At 38.8% G+C, this 12,468-nt stretch overlaps 1 protein-coding gene across 9 annotated transcripts in view, besides 2 other annotated features; it reads left to right on the top strand.

The window, feature by feature from the left end:
• SCAF4 (SR-related CTD associated factor 4) overlaps positions 1–12,468 on the top strand; it is a 61,119-nt gene that overhangs the window by 2,439 nt on the left and 46,212 nt on the right. The window lies entirely within an intron of this gene.
• Positions 3,401–3,901: an enhancer, noted in NCBI's record as "H3K4me1 hESC enhancer chr21:33098092-33098592 (GRCh37/hg19 assembly coordinates)". NCBI's record gives its function as "activates a minimal SCP1, AML or CMV promoter by ChIP-STARR-seq in naive H9 embryonic stem cells {active_cell/tissue: H9 hESC(naive)}" and the evidence as "EXISTENCE:reporter gene assay evidence [ECO:0000049][PMID:30033119]".
• Positions 3,907–4,036: an enhancer, noted in NCBI's record as "active region_18355". NCBI's record gives its function as "activates an Ori minimal core promoter by ATAC-STARR-seq in GM12878 lymphoblastoid cells {active_cell/tissue: GM12878}" and the evidence as "EXISTENCE:reporter gene assay evidence [ECO:0000049][PMID:35858748]".

Genomic DNA, 12,468 nt, shown 5'->3' with positions numbered 1-12,468 from the left:
ACTCCTCTAGAGAAATTAATCTGAGTTTAAAATTCATCTTACTGTGCCTACTTGATTTGTAGTGCTTCTCAACTATTTCTCCCCATTCATGAAATGTTCTTGATTCGTTCCCCATATAATCTTGAATCTCTGAGATCTGATCTTCACTTAAACTTTTGAGTGCCTGCTCACCTGCACAGCCATGTCCTGAATACTGTAGAGCTACCAAGGATTTCAGTCACCTAAAAGTCTAATCCAATAGAGGACATAAGACTTAGACAAATAATTTTAATAGGAGGTAGAACAGCTTCCTTTGGGATCCTTCCATTGCAGTGTGGCATAGCCATTGGAGATAAGTGAAGGCTTGGGAAGAGGAGCAGGTATCAGTTTTAGGATTTCAGAAGATGTAGGAAGCAGTGATCGAAGGGCAGTAGTGCTGAAAAGTGAGTATTTTGATTCTGAAGGCTACTGGAAAGTAAGGATGGTAAAGTAGTTTGGGCCTGACAAGTTTCATGTTTGCCTAATGTGTTTGAATTTCAGTTTTAGGCTGTGGGTAAACATTGAAGGTTTTAAGCAGTGGGATAATGTAATCAAAACTGTTTCGTTCGTAGTGTTATGTGTTGTAGGAGGCAGAGACTTGGTAGGAAAGATAAGTAAAACCTGAACTTGGCAAGTGTATAGTGGGAATGGAGAATAGGAAAAGGATGTGGGCCAAAGGAATCCATGGACCTTGGCATCTGATAGGTTTATAAGCACCTTTTGTCCCCACATCCTAAGGGCTGAGAGAGTGGTGATACCCTTATCACAAGTCATCAAAAGCCTACTTAGTAGAGAAGAAAATGTGTTTGATTTTTGAACAGGTTAATTGTGGAACAATCATGTGGAAATTTTTGGCAAGTAGTTGGGCTTATAGGACTTAAACTTGGAAGCAACTAAGAGATAGAGGGAGACATCCAGGAGTTCAGATGGGAAAGATGGGGGAAAATTGAAAGGGGGAGAAAAAGGAATTAATATAAGACCAATGGCATGTCAGGCATTAGATATGTACACATATCTAATTTAATATGTATTCCCACAACCCTGCATAGACGTCCAATTACAGATGAGGAAACTGATTTTCCAAGAAATTATAATAAATAGTAACTCCCCTAAGGGCATATTGCTAGTTAATGGCAGAACTAGGATTTGAATTGGGATCTCTCCAATTTAATTGTGTCCGAAGATAATATTTTGTATAGTATGAGGGGACTTGGCCACTGAAATGTTTGAGGATAACAGGATTTGAGGTTTAGGGTTGAATGGTGATGGGAGATAAGGAAATAAGAGGTAGCTAGTGTAAAGTAGTCTTTAGAGGTTTGGTTTTGAGGGATTAGAGGGAAATGTTGCTTAAGGATGAGGGAAGGAAGGGCAGTTAACAATGTACTAGGCACTGGTGATAGGCAGTACGTTTGTTTGTATTATATGTATATATATAAGTCTTTAGCTTTAGTTAGTAGTGTTGAATCCCTAGTCTTTTAGATGGGAGTAGAGGCTTTAGCATTTTCAAGGAAGGGGGTGTAGAATAGCATAGTTTACCAGCAAGAGGGGATGGCTAACTTGAAGCAAAATTATGGATAAGAGAAATGGGACAAATCAGAAGCAGTAGTAAAAGACGTCCATCTCTGATACAGAAGGAAAGGAAGATAAGAGAGGTTATTAAAGATACCCATTTAACAGAATATTTGGAGAATTTTTATGGCAAGACATGTATTAAGTGTTGTGAAAGATTGAAAAGGGTAGTGAAAAAGTATCAGTTATCAATTATGGCTAATACTTAATGGTGTCTGTTGTATAGTTTATATACTTCTGAATGTGAAGAATTTGCTAAAGTTTGTGGAATAGAATAAAGAGTATGGAATTTTTTTTTTTTTTAAGGTGGAGACCCGCTCTGTCACCACGCTGGAGTGCAGTGGCGCAATCTCAGCTCACTGCAGCCTCCGCCTCCTGGGTTCAAGCGATTCTCCTGCCTCTCCTCCCGAGTAGCTGGGACTACAGGAGCACACCACCACTCCCAGCTAATTTTTGTATTTTTAGTAGAGACGGGGTTTCACCATGTTGGCCAGGATGGACTTGATCTCTTGACCTCGTGATCCACCCTCCTGGCCTCCCAAAGTGCTGGGATTACACGTGTGAGCCACTGCGCCCAGCCAGATTGTGTTTTTTAACCCATTGATTGTATTTTTAGTCTTTAACCCATCTTGCCTAAATCCTGAAGAATTGTATCTTGCCCCTCCCACTTTTTTTGCATCATCTGCAGTTTTAAGACATTTGAAGTACAAAAATAGTCCAGGCACGGTGGCTTACGCCTGTAATTCCAGTACTTTGGGAGCCCAAGGCGGGTGAATCATGAGGTCAGGAGTTACAGACCAGCCTGGCTAACATGGTGAAACCCTGTCTCTACTAAAAATACAAAAAATTAGCTGGGCCTGGTGGTAGGCGCCTGTAATCCCAGCTACTTGGGAGGCTGAAGTAGGAGAATTGTTTGAACCCTGGAGGCAGAGGTTGCAGTGAACCGAGATTGGGCCACTGCACTCCAGCTTGGGCAACAGTGTGAGAGTCCATCTTAAAAAAAAGAAAAAAAAGTACAAAAATAGTGCAGAGAAAATAAAACAGTTAAGAATATACAGTTGTTACTATTTTGTGTTTTTAATTTACAAATAAAATATAAAGTCTTCCTTTCATCCTCACTCCAACCCCAACCCTCCTCCCACTTGCAGGAGAGGCAATCAAATAATTTAGTATTAATCTCTGTGGTCCATAAACAATATATAATATTCTCTGATACTGGAGTGTAGTGGCACCAGCACGGCTTACTGCAGCTTTGACCTGCTTTTTTTGTTTGCTCAAATATTAATACTGTCTATTAAGATTAGTTAATATTTTGCTGACAGGCTGCAATGAACTTTTCAAACATGTCTCCTGGTGCGCATGTGTAGGAATTTCTGTAGGACAGCTGTTCTCAAACTTTTTGGTTTTAGACCCATTTATTTGTTTTTTGAGACAGGGTCTGGCTCTGTGGCCCAGACTAGAGGGCAGTGGCACAAACTCCACCCATTGCAACCTCCGCCTCCTGGGCTCAAGCCATCCTCCTGTCTCAGCCTCCCAAGTAGCTGGGACCACAAACCTCTGCCACCATGCCTGGCTAATTTTTCAATTTTTTTCGGTAGACACGGGGTTTGGCTCTGTTGCCCATGCTGGTCTCAAGCCTCTGAGCTCAAGTGATTAGCCCACCTTAGCCCCCTGAAAGTACTGGGATTGCAGGCATGAGCCACCATGCCTGGCTAGATCCTTTTAAATTCTTAAAGGTTAAGGGCCACCGCCAGGCGTGGTGGCTCACACCTGTAATCCCAGCACTTTGGGAGGCCGAGGCGGGCAGATGACAAAGTCAAGAGATCGAGACCATTCTGGCTAACACGGTGAAACCCCGTCTCTACTAAAAATACAAAAAATTAGCTGGGTGTGGTGGCGGGCGCCTGTAATCCCAGCTACTTGGGAGGCTGAGGCAGGAGAATGGTGTGAACCCGGGAGGCGGAGCTTGCAGTGAGCCGAGATCGCGCCACTGCACTCCAGCCTGGGCGACAGAGCGAGACTCTATCTCAAAAAAAAAAAAAAGTTAAGGGCCACAGAGAGCTTTTGTATCTATCTATTGGTTATTATATTTATTGATATTTACCATATTAGAAATTTAAACTGAGAAATGCAAGTGTTTATTAATTTACTAAAAATAACAATAAACTTATTACAATATGTTAATATAAATAACATTTTTAATGAAAAGTAACGTTTCTAAAACAAAAAAATTAATAAAGAGTGACATCATTTTGCATTTTTGCACGTCATTTAAACTTTGGTTTAATAAAACCTGGATCCTCATTCCACTTTTTCATTCAGTCTGTTGCAGTAACACACATCAGGTAGCCTCTGGAATATACTGCTACATACTTCTGAGAAAACGAACAAAAAGGCAAGAACTATCTTAGTATTCATATGAAAACAGTTCTGACCTCAAACCACGGAAAGGGACTCAAAGACCTCTCAGAGGTCCTTGGATTACTCTTTGAGAACTGCAGTGCTGAGGTGGTATGCATATAATGCTACTTTGCAGTACAGAAAAAAAATGCGAGTACTTGTATATTCATGGTTATCTTTAAAATTGGACATAAATTAGGCTTTATGAATACTTAATGTACGAATTGACATTGGTACACTTATCCAGTTGGGCTGTCAATCATGTTATTCTGAAGGAAGAGTTGAGTTTTACATCTTAGTGGGAGCTTGGTACTCCCTTCTCTTACTGTAAATTGTTCTGTATGACTATTGTTGATTACTAGGGATGATTGTCTTCTAGAATTTAGTTCATCTGATGGGGATGCCTTATTAAGTATTTTTTTTTTAACCTGTAGTGTTAATGTTTGGGGTTTGATCATTTCTGAGACGTTTATCTAAAGACATGTAGACAGAGGGTTCAAAGTTCTTTACTGTATGGAAAAGATGTAGAGGACCAGGTCGATTATTGGCAGTAAAATTGGAGATTTCCCTTGCAAAAGTTGACCATGTTGTGCTGTTATCCCAGGAGTTTTTGAATGTTGAAAGTTGGTTATACAGTGTTTTCTTTCTCTACTTTCTTGACCCAGGGAATTCTTAGTTTCTGACAAGGGTATTGGTCTGGCTTTATAGTGATTGCGATAAAGTGATTCTTCAGAGCTTTCTGTAGCGGGGTTTATCACTGATGTTCTTGTTGTAAGTATTTCCCTCCCTAGTCTATCATTTTGTCTAGTATTCTGTTTCAGAAAAAATTACATGAACACATGAGGAATTGATTCAGAGAGCAATTAGAATAATGGAAAAGTTGGTTTCTAAACCTTGTGAAACAGAATTCAGGTTAAAACTGTACCTACTAGAGAGATGACACAATTGGTAGTTTTTTTTTGTTTGTTTTCTTTACCACATACGAAGCCACTGTAAAAATTGTAGGTTGTTCTGTGTCATGGGGCACGAACAAATATAATTTACTTCAGAATTGGAAGTAACTTTTTTGTACATATCTGCGCACACTCAAATCTCATTTGAAATACACCTTGATAACATAGTAGGGAAAAAATGTTACATCAGTAATGAACCTTTAGTGTTATTCATAACATTTGTTGAGACAATATGCCAAATCCTTTTTTAGCACACTTCAGAGCAACAGCATACAACTTTCATGATAAGCTGAAAACTACACTGTGTTGTCAGGTATATAGCAGAATAAGCAGCTTACCTATTAACAGTTCAAAATTTTGGTAACATTGGTATATTAATTAGTATTATGTTTCTGTCAAACCACAGAAAATATAGAGGTGGGTAATAGTTAAATTTGCGTTAGAAGAGGCCTTACCAGGATCTGTTGAGAGCTTAGGAGAGACATGTCTACATTTCTGTGTTAATATTAAGTGTAATTAATACTGTGCTGCTGTGATTTTGAGAACTACAAGAGATTTTACAAACAATATTATAATTTATTATACCCTGATCACCTTCATTCTGTTCAATATTTGCATCGTTTATTGATTACATTTCATTGCTGAGTAGTTTGAGCTTTTTATTGGTGCTTTTTAAGACATAGATAAGTAAGTATACAGAAACCCTATATTCCAGTAAAGTGCACTGTACCAGATTAGTAGTAAATTCAGGAAGAAAACCAGTGTAACTCAGCAGTGGAGTTAAGAATTAGAAGCCCGGGTTTTTACTAGGGGGTAGAGGAGAACAGCAGGGCTCAGTGAAAGGTGGATGGCCATCCAAATACCTCTTGAAAGTTATAATTTATGTTTGGGTAATTGATGATTCTTGGTGTAAATCCATGTGGGTCAATAATCCCAGTTGGAAGAGACCGGAGAGCAGTGGTATAGCTGGCATATTTGACATCCAGAGCAGATTTTTTTAAAACACACCCTTTTTGTATAGCAAAATTATTTTCAGAAATAATCATGAAATGAGTAATGGAAATGGCCAGAAAGAAAACTTGAACTGTATGTGCGCGCGCGCGCGCGCGCACACACACACACACACACATCATATAAATCATACCAGACTTTTAAATTGCATTAATATATGTTTTTTGAAATAGTGGAAAAACTTATCTGCATACTGATATGTCACAATAATGAATACAAATGTTACAGGATTTTTTGTTTTGTTTTTTGTTTTGTTTGTTTTGTTTTGTTTTTTTTGAGACGGAGTGTTGCTCTGTCACCCAGGCTGGAGTGCAGTGGCATGATCTTGGCACATAGCAACCTCCGTTTCCTGGGTTCAAGCAATTCTCCTGCCTCAGCCCTGCCTAGTAGCTGAGATTACAGGTGCACGCCACCGGGCCCGGCCAATTTTTGTATTTTAAGTAGGGACGGCGTTTCACCATGTTGGCCAGGCTGGCCACTATCTTTAAAAGTCTTAGGCAGGTTTGTCAATGACTATTAAAATTGATCTTCACATATTTGTGTTCGGTAGACAGTTACAACCAGATTTATTCATCTGTTTTCACCTACAGTTAAGAGCACTTTTAATTAATTTTAATTACAAAATGTTGTACATACAGCAACACATACACAAATAGGAAGTTTTAAACATCATACTGTGTTTGGCAGCGATTTATAAGCATACTTCACAATAAATTCTAGAAATCACAATACTATCCATGTATTTTTTTCAGCATTGAGTGTAATGACTTTTTTTTTAGATGGAGTCTTGCTCTGTCACCCAGGCTGGAGTACAGTGGCGCAATCGCAGCTCACTGCAACCTCCGCCTCCTGGGTTCAAGCGGTTTCCTTGCCTCAGCCTCCTGACTAGCTGGGATTACAGGCACGTGCCACCACACCCGGCTAATTTTTGTATTTTTAGTAGAGACGGGGTTTCTCAATGTTGGCCAGGCTGGTCCTGAACTTGGACCTCGTGATCCACCTGCCTCAGCCTCCCAAAGTGCTGGGATTACAGGCGTGAGCCACCACACCCGACCTTGAGTGTAATGACTTTGAAATGCCTCAGTCAAAATTTTACTGAAATGGTTATCACCTAAAAATTCAATGTAAATGTCTATTATATTTGATAACCACTTTTGATATTCACGTACAAGGAAGTACAGCTTCCTTGTACTTTGTTGCTTAGTGATGGCATCTCTATAATTTTTGTTCACAGGTCTTCACTTTTAAAGTTTTATTTATCTCTATATTTGTTTGAGGCCGATTCTGGTTGTTTGTAAATATTTATGCCAGAAAAAATTTATCTCAGAAAAATTGGACACAGCTATAATTTTGAATATACTATTTAAACAGAGGAATGTATATAGGTACAATAGGATTGGAGTCATGCTGAGCCTGAGGAGAGCTGAAGCTATCCTGAACCTTTTTGTACTTACTCTCCAAATGAACAGGTATATCAAATCTGCATGTGTTGGGAACTGACTGTATAACTGGGGGATTTCCTAATAAACTTCCAATTAAGATGGATTGCTTATTAAAGGGTATGTAATAAAAATGTGCAGATTTGACATTTTTATGTTGTTAAAACTCAGCAGTAACCACAGCAACCCCTTAAAACTTAAAGAGTATTGCCAAAATATTTTGGGGGCGATATATTTTATCCCTGGGTTTTTTAGAATTGCCTGTGCTCAGGCCAGGCGTGGTGGCTCACGCCTGTAATCCCAGCACTTTGGGAGGTCAAAGTGGGTGGATCATCTGAGGTCAGAAGTTTGAGACCAGCCTGGCCAACATTGAGAAACCCTGTCTGTACTAAAAAGACAAAATTAGCTGGGTGTGGTGGCTCATGCCTGTAATCCCAGCTACTCAGGAGGCAGGAGAATCACTTGAACCTGGGAGGTGGAGGTTGCGAGGAGCCGAGATTGTGCCTGTGCACTCCAGCCCGGGCAACAGAGCGAGATTCCATCTCAAAAAAAAAAAAAAAAAAAGAATTGCTCTTGCTTGATGTTAATAAAAGAACAAAATCAAAGTCTTGCTGTTTTATTTAGTCTTGATAGTTCACCCACTTACTGCCTGCACCTGGGTGGACTGCTCCTCTTGCCTCACTCTAGGTATGCAGTTGCATTAAAGAGCAATAGTTGACCAATCCACTAGTCTGTAAAGTCTCCCTCTGCAATATGCCCAGTATATCTTAATGCATTCTGTCATGAGTGTTCCTCTATATTTCCTCCTTTTGACTTTCAGTTAAAGTAGAATTATAATACCCTGCTTAAAGGAAACCTGTAATACCGAAAATTACTGTGATATCCGTTTTAAAGCCTTTAAGAAATATATAATAGTCTTTAAACTTTAATGGCCATACATGACTTAGTTTACATTGATTAAAAGATGCTGAATGTTAAATCACTTTAGATAGGGCAGCCAAGTTTAGGGATCAGTTGAAATAAGTCCAAATCTTTATGAAGGTCTTTTACCACTATCTATTTTAACAAATATAGGGATATATTTTATAAAGCAAACCCGTAGAGACAGAAAGTAGATTATTGGCTGGCAGACAGCAAAAGGAGGAATGGAGAGTGACTGGTAATGGGGATGGGATTTGTTTTGGGGGTGATGAAAATACTCTATAAAGTGTTGATGGGTGCACAACTCTTGAATATATCAAAAACCATTGAATTGTCCATTTTAAATGGATGGATTTTTATGGTATGTGATTTATATCACAAAGCTGTTGTAAAATACACAGAAATGTCAGGTTATATCATAACCATTTTGTTGTTTACTTGCCTTATCTGATTTTCTGTCAAGATGAAAACTATCTAGCGGCCTCTGCATGGCTCTGTAAATTATTTTGTTGATCCCGAATCCTAAGTTTGTTCAAAGGATAGGTTTAGTTTTGACGTACTATTTTAAGGAGTAATCCAGTGGGAACAGTTTAAGGGAAGGACAAGAAAAGAATCCTGCATTTGCCCATTAAATAACCAGGTGCTGGCTAATGAGTTAGGTGTTGTGTACATGTCTTTGCATTCTTTCCATTTTAAAGGTAAGGAAACTAGAGAAGTTTGGCGAATGGTCTGAGGTCACACAGTGTAAAAGTAACAGTTCTGAGATTTGACACAGTCCTTTGAAGAGCCCATCTGAGTCTAGTCCACAGCCCCACATGGCTGCTGTGAAGTTTTTGAGCAGTGAGTCCTTATCTAATGGACCATTTATGTGGGGAGAAGACTCAGTGAACAGCTTTTATACGTCTGAAGCATGGTAGCAAGTGATAACTATCAAAATAATGTGTACTTTTGGAAGGACTTGTCACAGTTTAAGAATAACAAGGTTTGGTTAAGTTTTTGAGCCATCCACAGTAATGCAGTAAATGTAATCAGCATTTAAAACTAAAGATGTCTATTCTTTTTACCAGTTTATACTCCATTAAAAATTTTAACTCATTAAGGATTTTATAAATGCTAGCATTAATATTGTTTTCTAATTAAATGATTTTATGTCCTGGAATCAATTTTTATTTCTTGTATTGATGTCTAGGAAGAAGTGTTTAATTCACAAAAATGTTTTAATAGCCAACTGTGAGGGGAGGGAGACCAGAAGTTCATTAGTGAGGCACAGTAAATGTGATGCTGAGGTATGGCACCTGTACTGCTAAAGGAGAGCACTGGCATGGATAAAACATTTGGCATTTCCTAAAATCACCTCCTGGCCTGTCTTTCAAGCAAGTGAAAAGGAAGAAGTTGTGGATTGATTTGGGAAGTACATTTGGAAAATGACCTAATGTGATAAGCTGGAACCAATAGGGTTAAAAACCCTGGTGAGGTATACAGCCTTGATTCTAAAAGTGGAAAGTTTGAGTGAAGGCTAGACCCTTGGAAATTGTAGGGGAGGTAGTGTAAAATGAAGAATACATGGCCAGGCGCGGTGGCTCACGCCTGTAATCCCAGCACTTTGGGAGGCCAAGGCAGGCAGATCACCTGAGGTCAGGAGTTCGAGACCAGCCTGACCAACATGGAGAAACCCTGTCTCTACTAAAAATACAAAATTAGCCGGGCATGGTGGCACATGCCTGTAATCCCAGCTACTCGGGAGGCTGAGGCAGGAGACTCGCTTAGACCCAGGAGGCGGAGGTTGTGGTGCGCTGAGATCACACCATTGCATTCCAGCCTGGGCAACAAGCGTGAAGCTCCATCTCAAAAAAACAAAAAAAAAGAAGAATAATAATACATTAGGACATGCTTTATAGAGTAAGTTTTCAGAAATTAACTATTAATACTTAGAAAATTAGTTCTGCCCGGAGTAAATGGTAATAGAATAAGGGCTCGATGGTACAATTAAAGAGTGAAAAATAATGCAGATGAAGTTTAAACCATTGTGTATTATATTCTGTTGTGTTTTTTTTGTTTTTTGTTTTTTGTTTTTTTTTGGGACAGAGTTTCGTTCTTGTTGCCCAGGCTAGAGTGCGATGGCGTGATCTTGGCTGACCGCAATCTCCACCTCTAGGGTTCAAGTGATTCTCCTGGCTCAGCCTCTTGAGTAGCTGGGATTACAGGCATGTGCCACCACGCCCGGCTAATTTTGTATGTTTAGTAGAGATGGGGTTTCTCCATGTTGATCAGGCTGGTCTCAAACTCCTGACCTCAGGCGATCTGTCTACCTCGGCCTCCCGAAGTGCTGGGATTACGGGCATGAGCCACCGTGCCCCACCTATATTCTGTTTTCTTAATGTTCTTACTGCACATAGAAATATAAGTAGTTAACCTAAAAATGGTGTTATATTTATTATTAAATGTAATTTAGCAATTCCATGTGTTTATTTGGTAAAACATTTCTTTAAATTCCGGAACTAGAAGAAAAGTCAACAAGATTGTGGAGGAGAATATGGTATAGTAAAGAAATTTAGGAAGAAGTAAGTATGAAAATTTTGAATTTGAATATTATGTGCGGTTTTGTTGCTTATGAAAGTACCTGGTTTGGAATCTCTTGAAATCTGAAGAGTAAATTTTGTACAGAAGTAGATGGAACTGTTTTGTAATGTTTACATTCAAACAAGACTCTGCTCAGTCGGAGCAGGAAAATGGTAGAGCATCTTTCCCCTATTTGTTTTAAAAAGCTTTTCGGGGTGGGATGAGGTGGCTCACGCCTGTAATCCCAGTACTTTGGGAGGCTGAGACTGGCAAATCCCTTGAGACCAGGAGTTCGAAACCATCCTGGCTAACATGGCAAAATCCCATCTGTACCAAAAAGAAAAAGCTTTGTAAATTTTCTCTACCTTAGGAGTATTTCATATTGACAATGCCAGATTTATCTTGTTTTCATACCTTCCTCTAAGCAAGTGGAAAAGTGGTTAAATGTTTAGGTTTCAAAAGGTTTGAGTCTGTGACAAGCAAGTGGAATTTATATGGAAGTAAGCTGTATATCAATAATTAAAGGGACACTTTCTTTAATGAAGAGATGTTGAAAAAAATATAGGCCTGGCACAGTGCCTCACGCCTGTAATCCCAGCACTTTGGGAGGCCAAGGTGGGCAGAGCAACTGAGGTCAGGAGTTCAAGACCAGCCTGACTAACATGGAGAAACCCCATCTCTACTAAAAATACAAAAAAATTAGCCAGGTGTGGTGGCACATGCCTGTAATCCCAGCTACTTGGGAGGCTGAGGCAGGAGAATCACTTGAACCTGGGAGGCGGAGGTTGTGGTGAGCCGAGATCGCGCCATTGCACTCCAGCCTGGGCAATGAGAGTGAAACTCCATCTCAAAAAAATATATATGTGTGTGTGTGTGTGTGTGTGTGTGTGTGTGTGTGTGTGTGTATATATGTGTATATATGTGTATATATGTGTATATGTGTGTGTGTGTGTGTGTGTGTGTGTGTATATATATATATATATGGCAGCAGTTTCCCAAAAATTTTTTTTTTTTTGCACAGTGTATGTTGTTCATTTTATCCACAGGGCTTCAGTTATTGTAAGGATTTGTGGGGGGAGGGGTGTTTTTAATTTAATTTTTTAATTTAAAAATTTACTAATTTTGAAAGGCTTTATTAAAGATTTGCAAGTTACTGATTTAAACATAGTAACTGAGCTTCAAAGACAAGATTTACTCTGTGGACAAGTTATGTGATAATGGTGATTCTGTATAACCATATTTCTTTATCACTTAGTTATATTTATAATCAAAAGTTGAACAAAGATGTATCTCAGACAGATACAAATTAAAGTTCATTTTTAAATCCATGAATTTAATTGTTTTCATTTAAAAATTAATGCAAGTTAGATAAATTTGAATTAGTAGATAAAACAATCCCATCAAACACCATTAGCATTTTAGAGTATTTCCTTTGTCTTTTTTTCTCCTCCACTTGTGTTTGGAATTTTTTATGTAGTTACCAGATCTTTTTAATAGCATGAAATTCTCTGTCATTTTCTCAATAATTATTGTGGAAAATTTGAGAATATCTAATAATTGCCTTAGATAAATTTCTAGAAGTAGAATTACTGGTTCAA

Source organism: Homo sapiens, chromosome 21 (genome assembly GCF_000001405.40).
Source record: "Homo sapiens chromosome 21, GRCh38.p14 Primary Assembly".
Classification (NCBI taxonomy): Eukaryota; Metazoa; Chordata; class Mammalia; order Primates; family Hominidae; genus Homo; species Homo sapiens.
The sequence above is the reverse complement of the archived record's forward strand: the minus strand, read 5'-3'. Positions and strand labels throughout refer to the sequence as shown.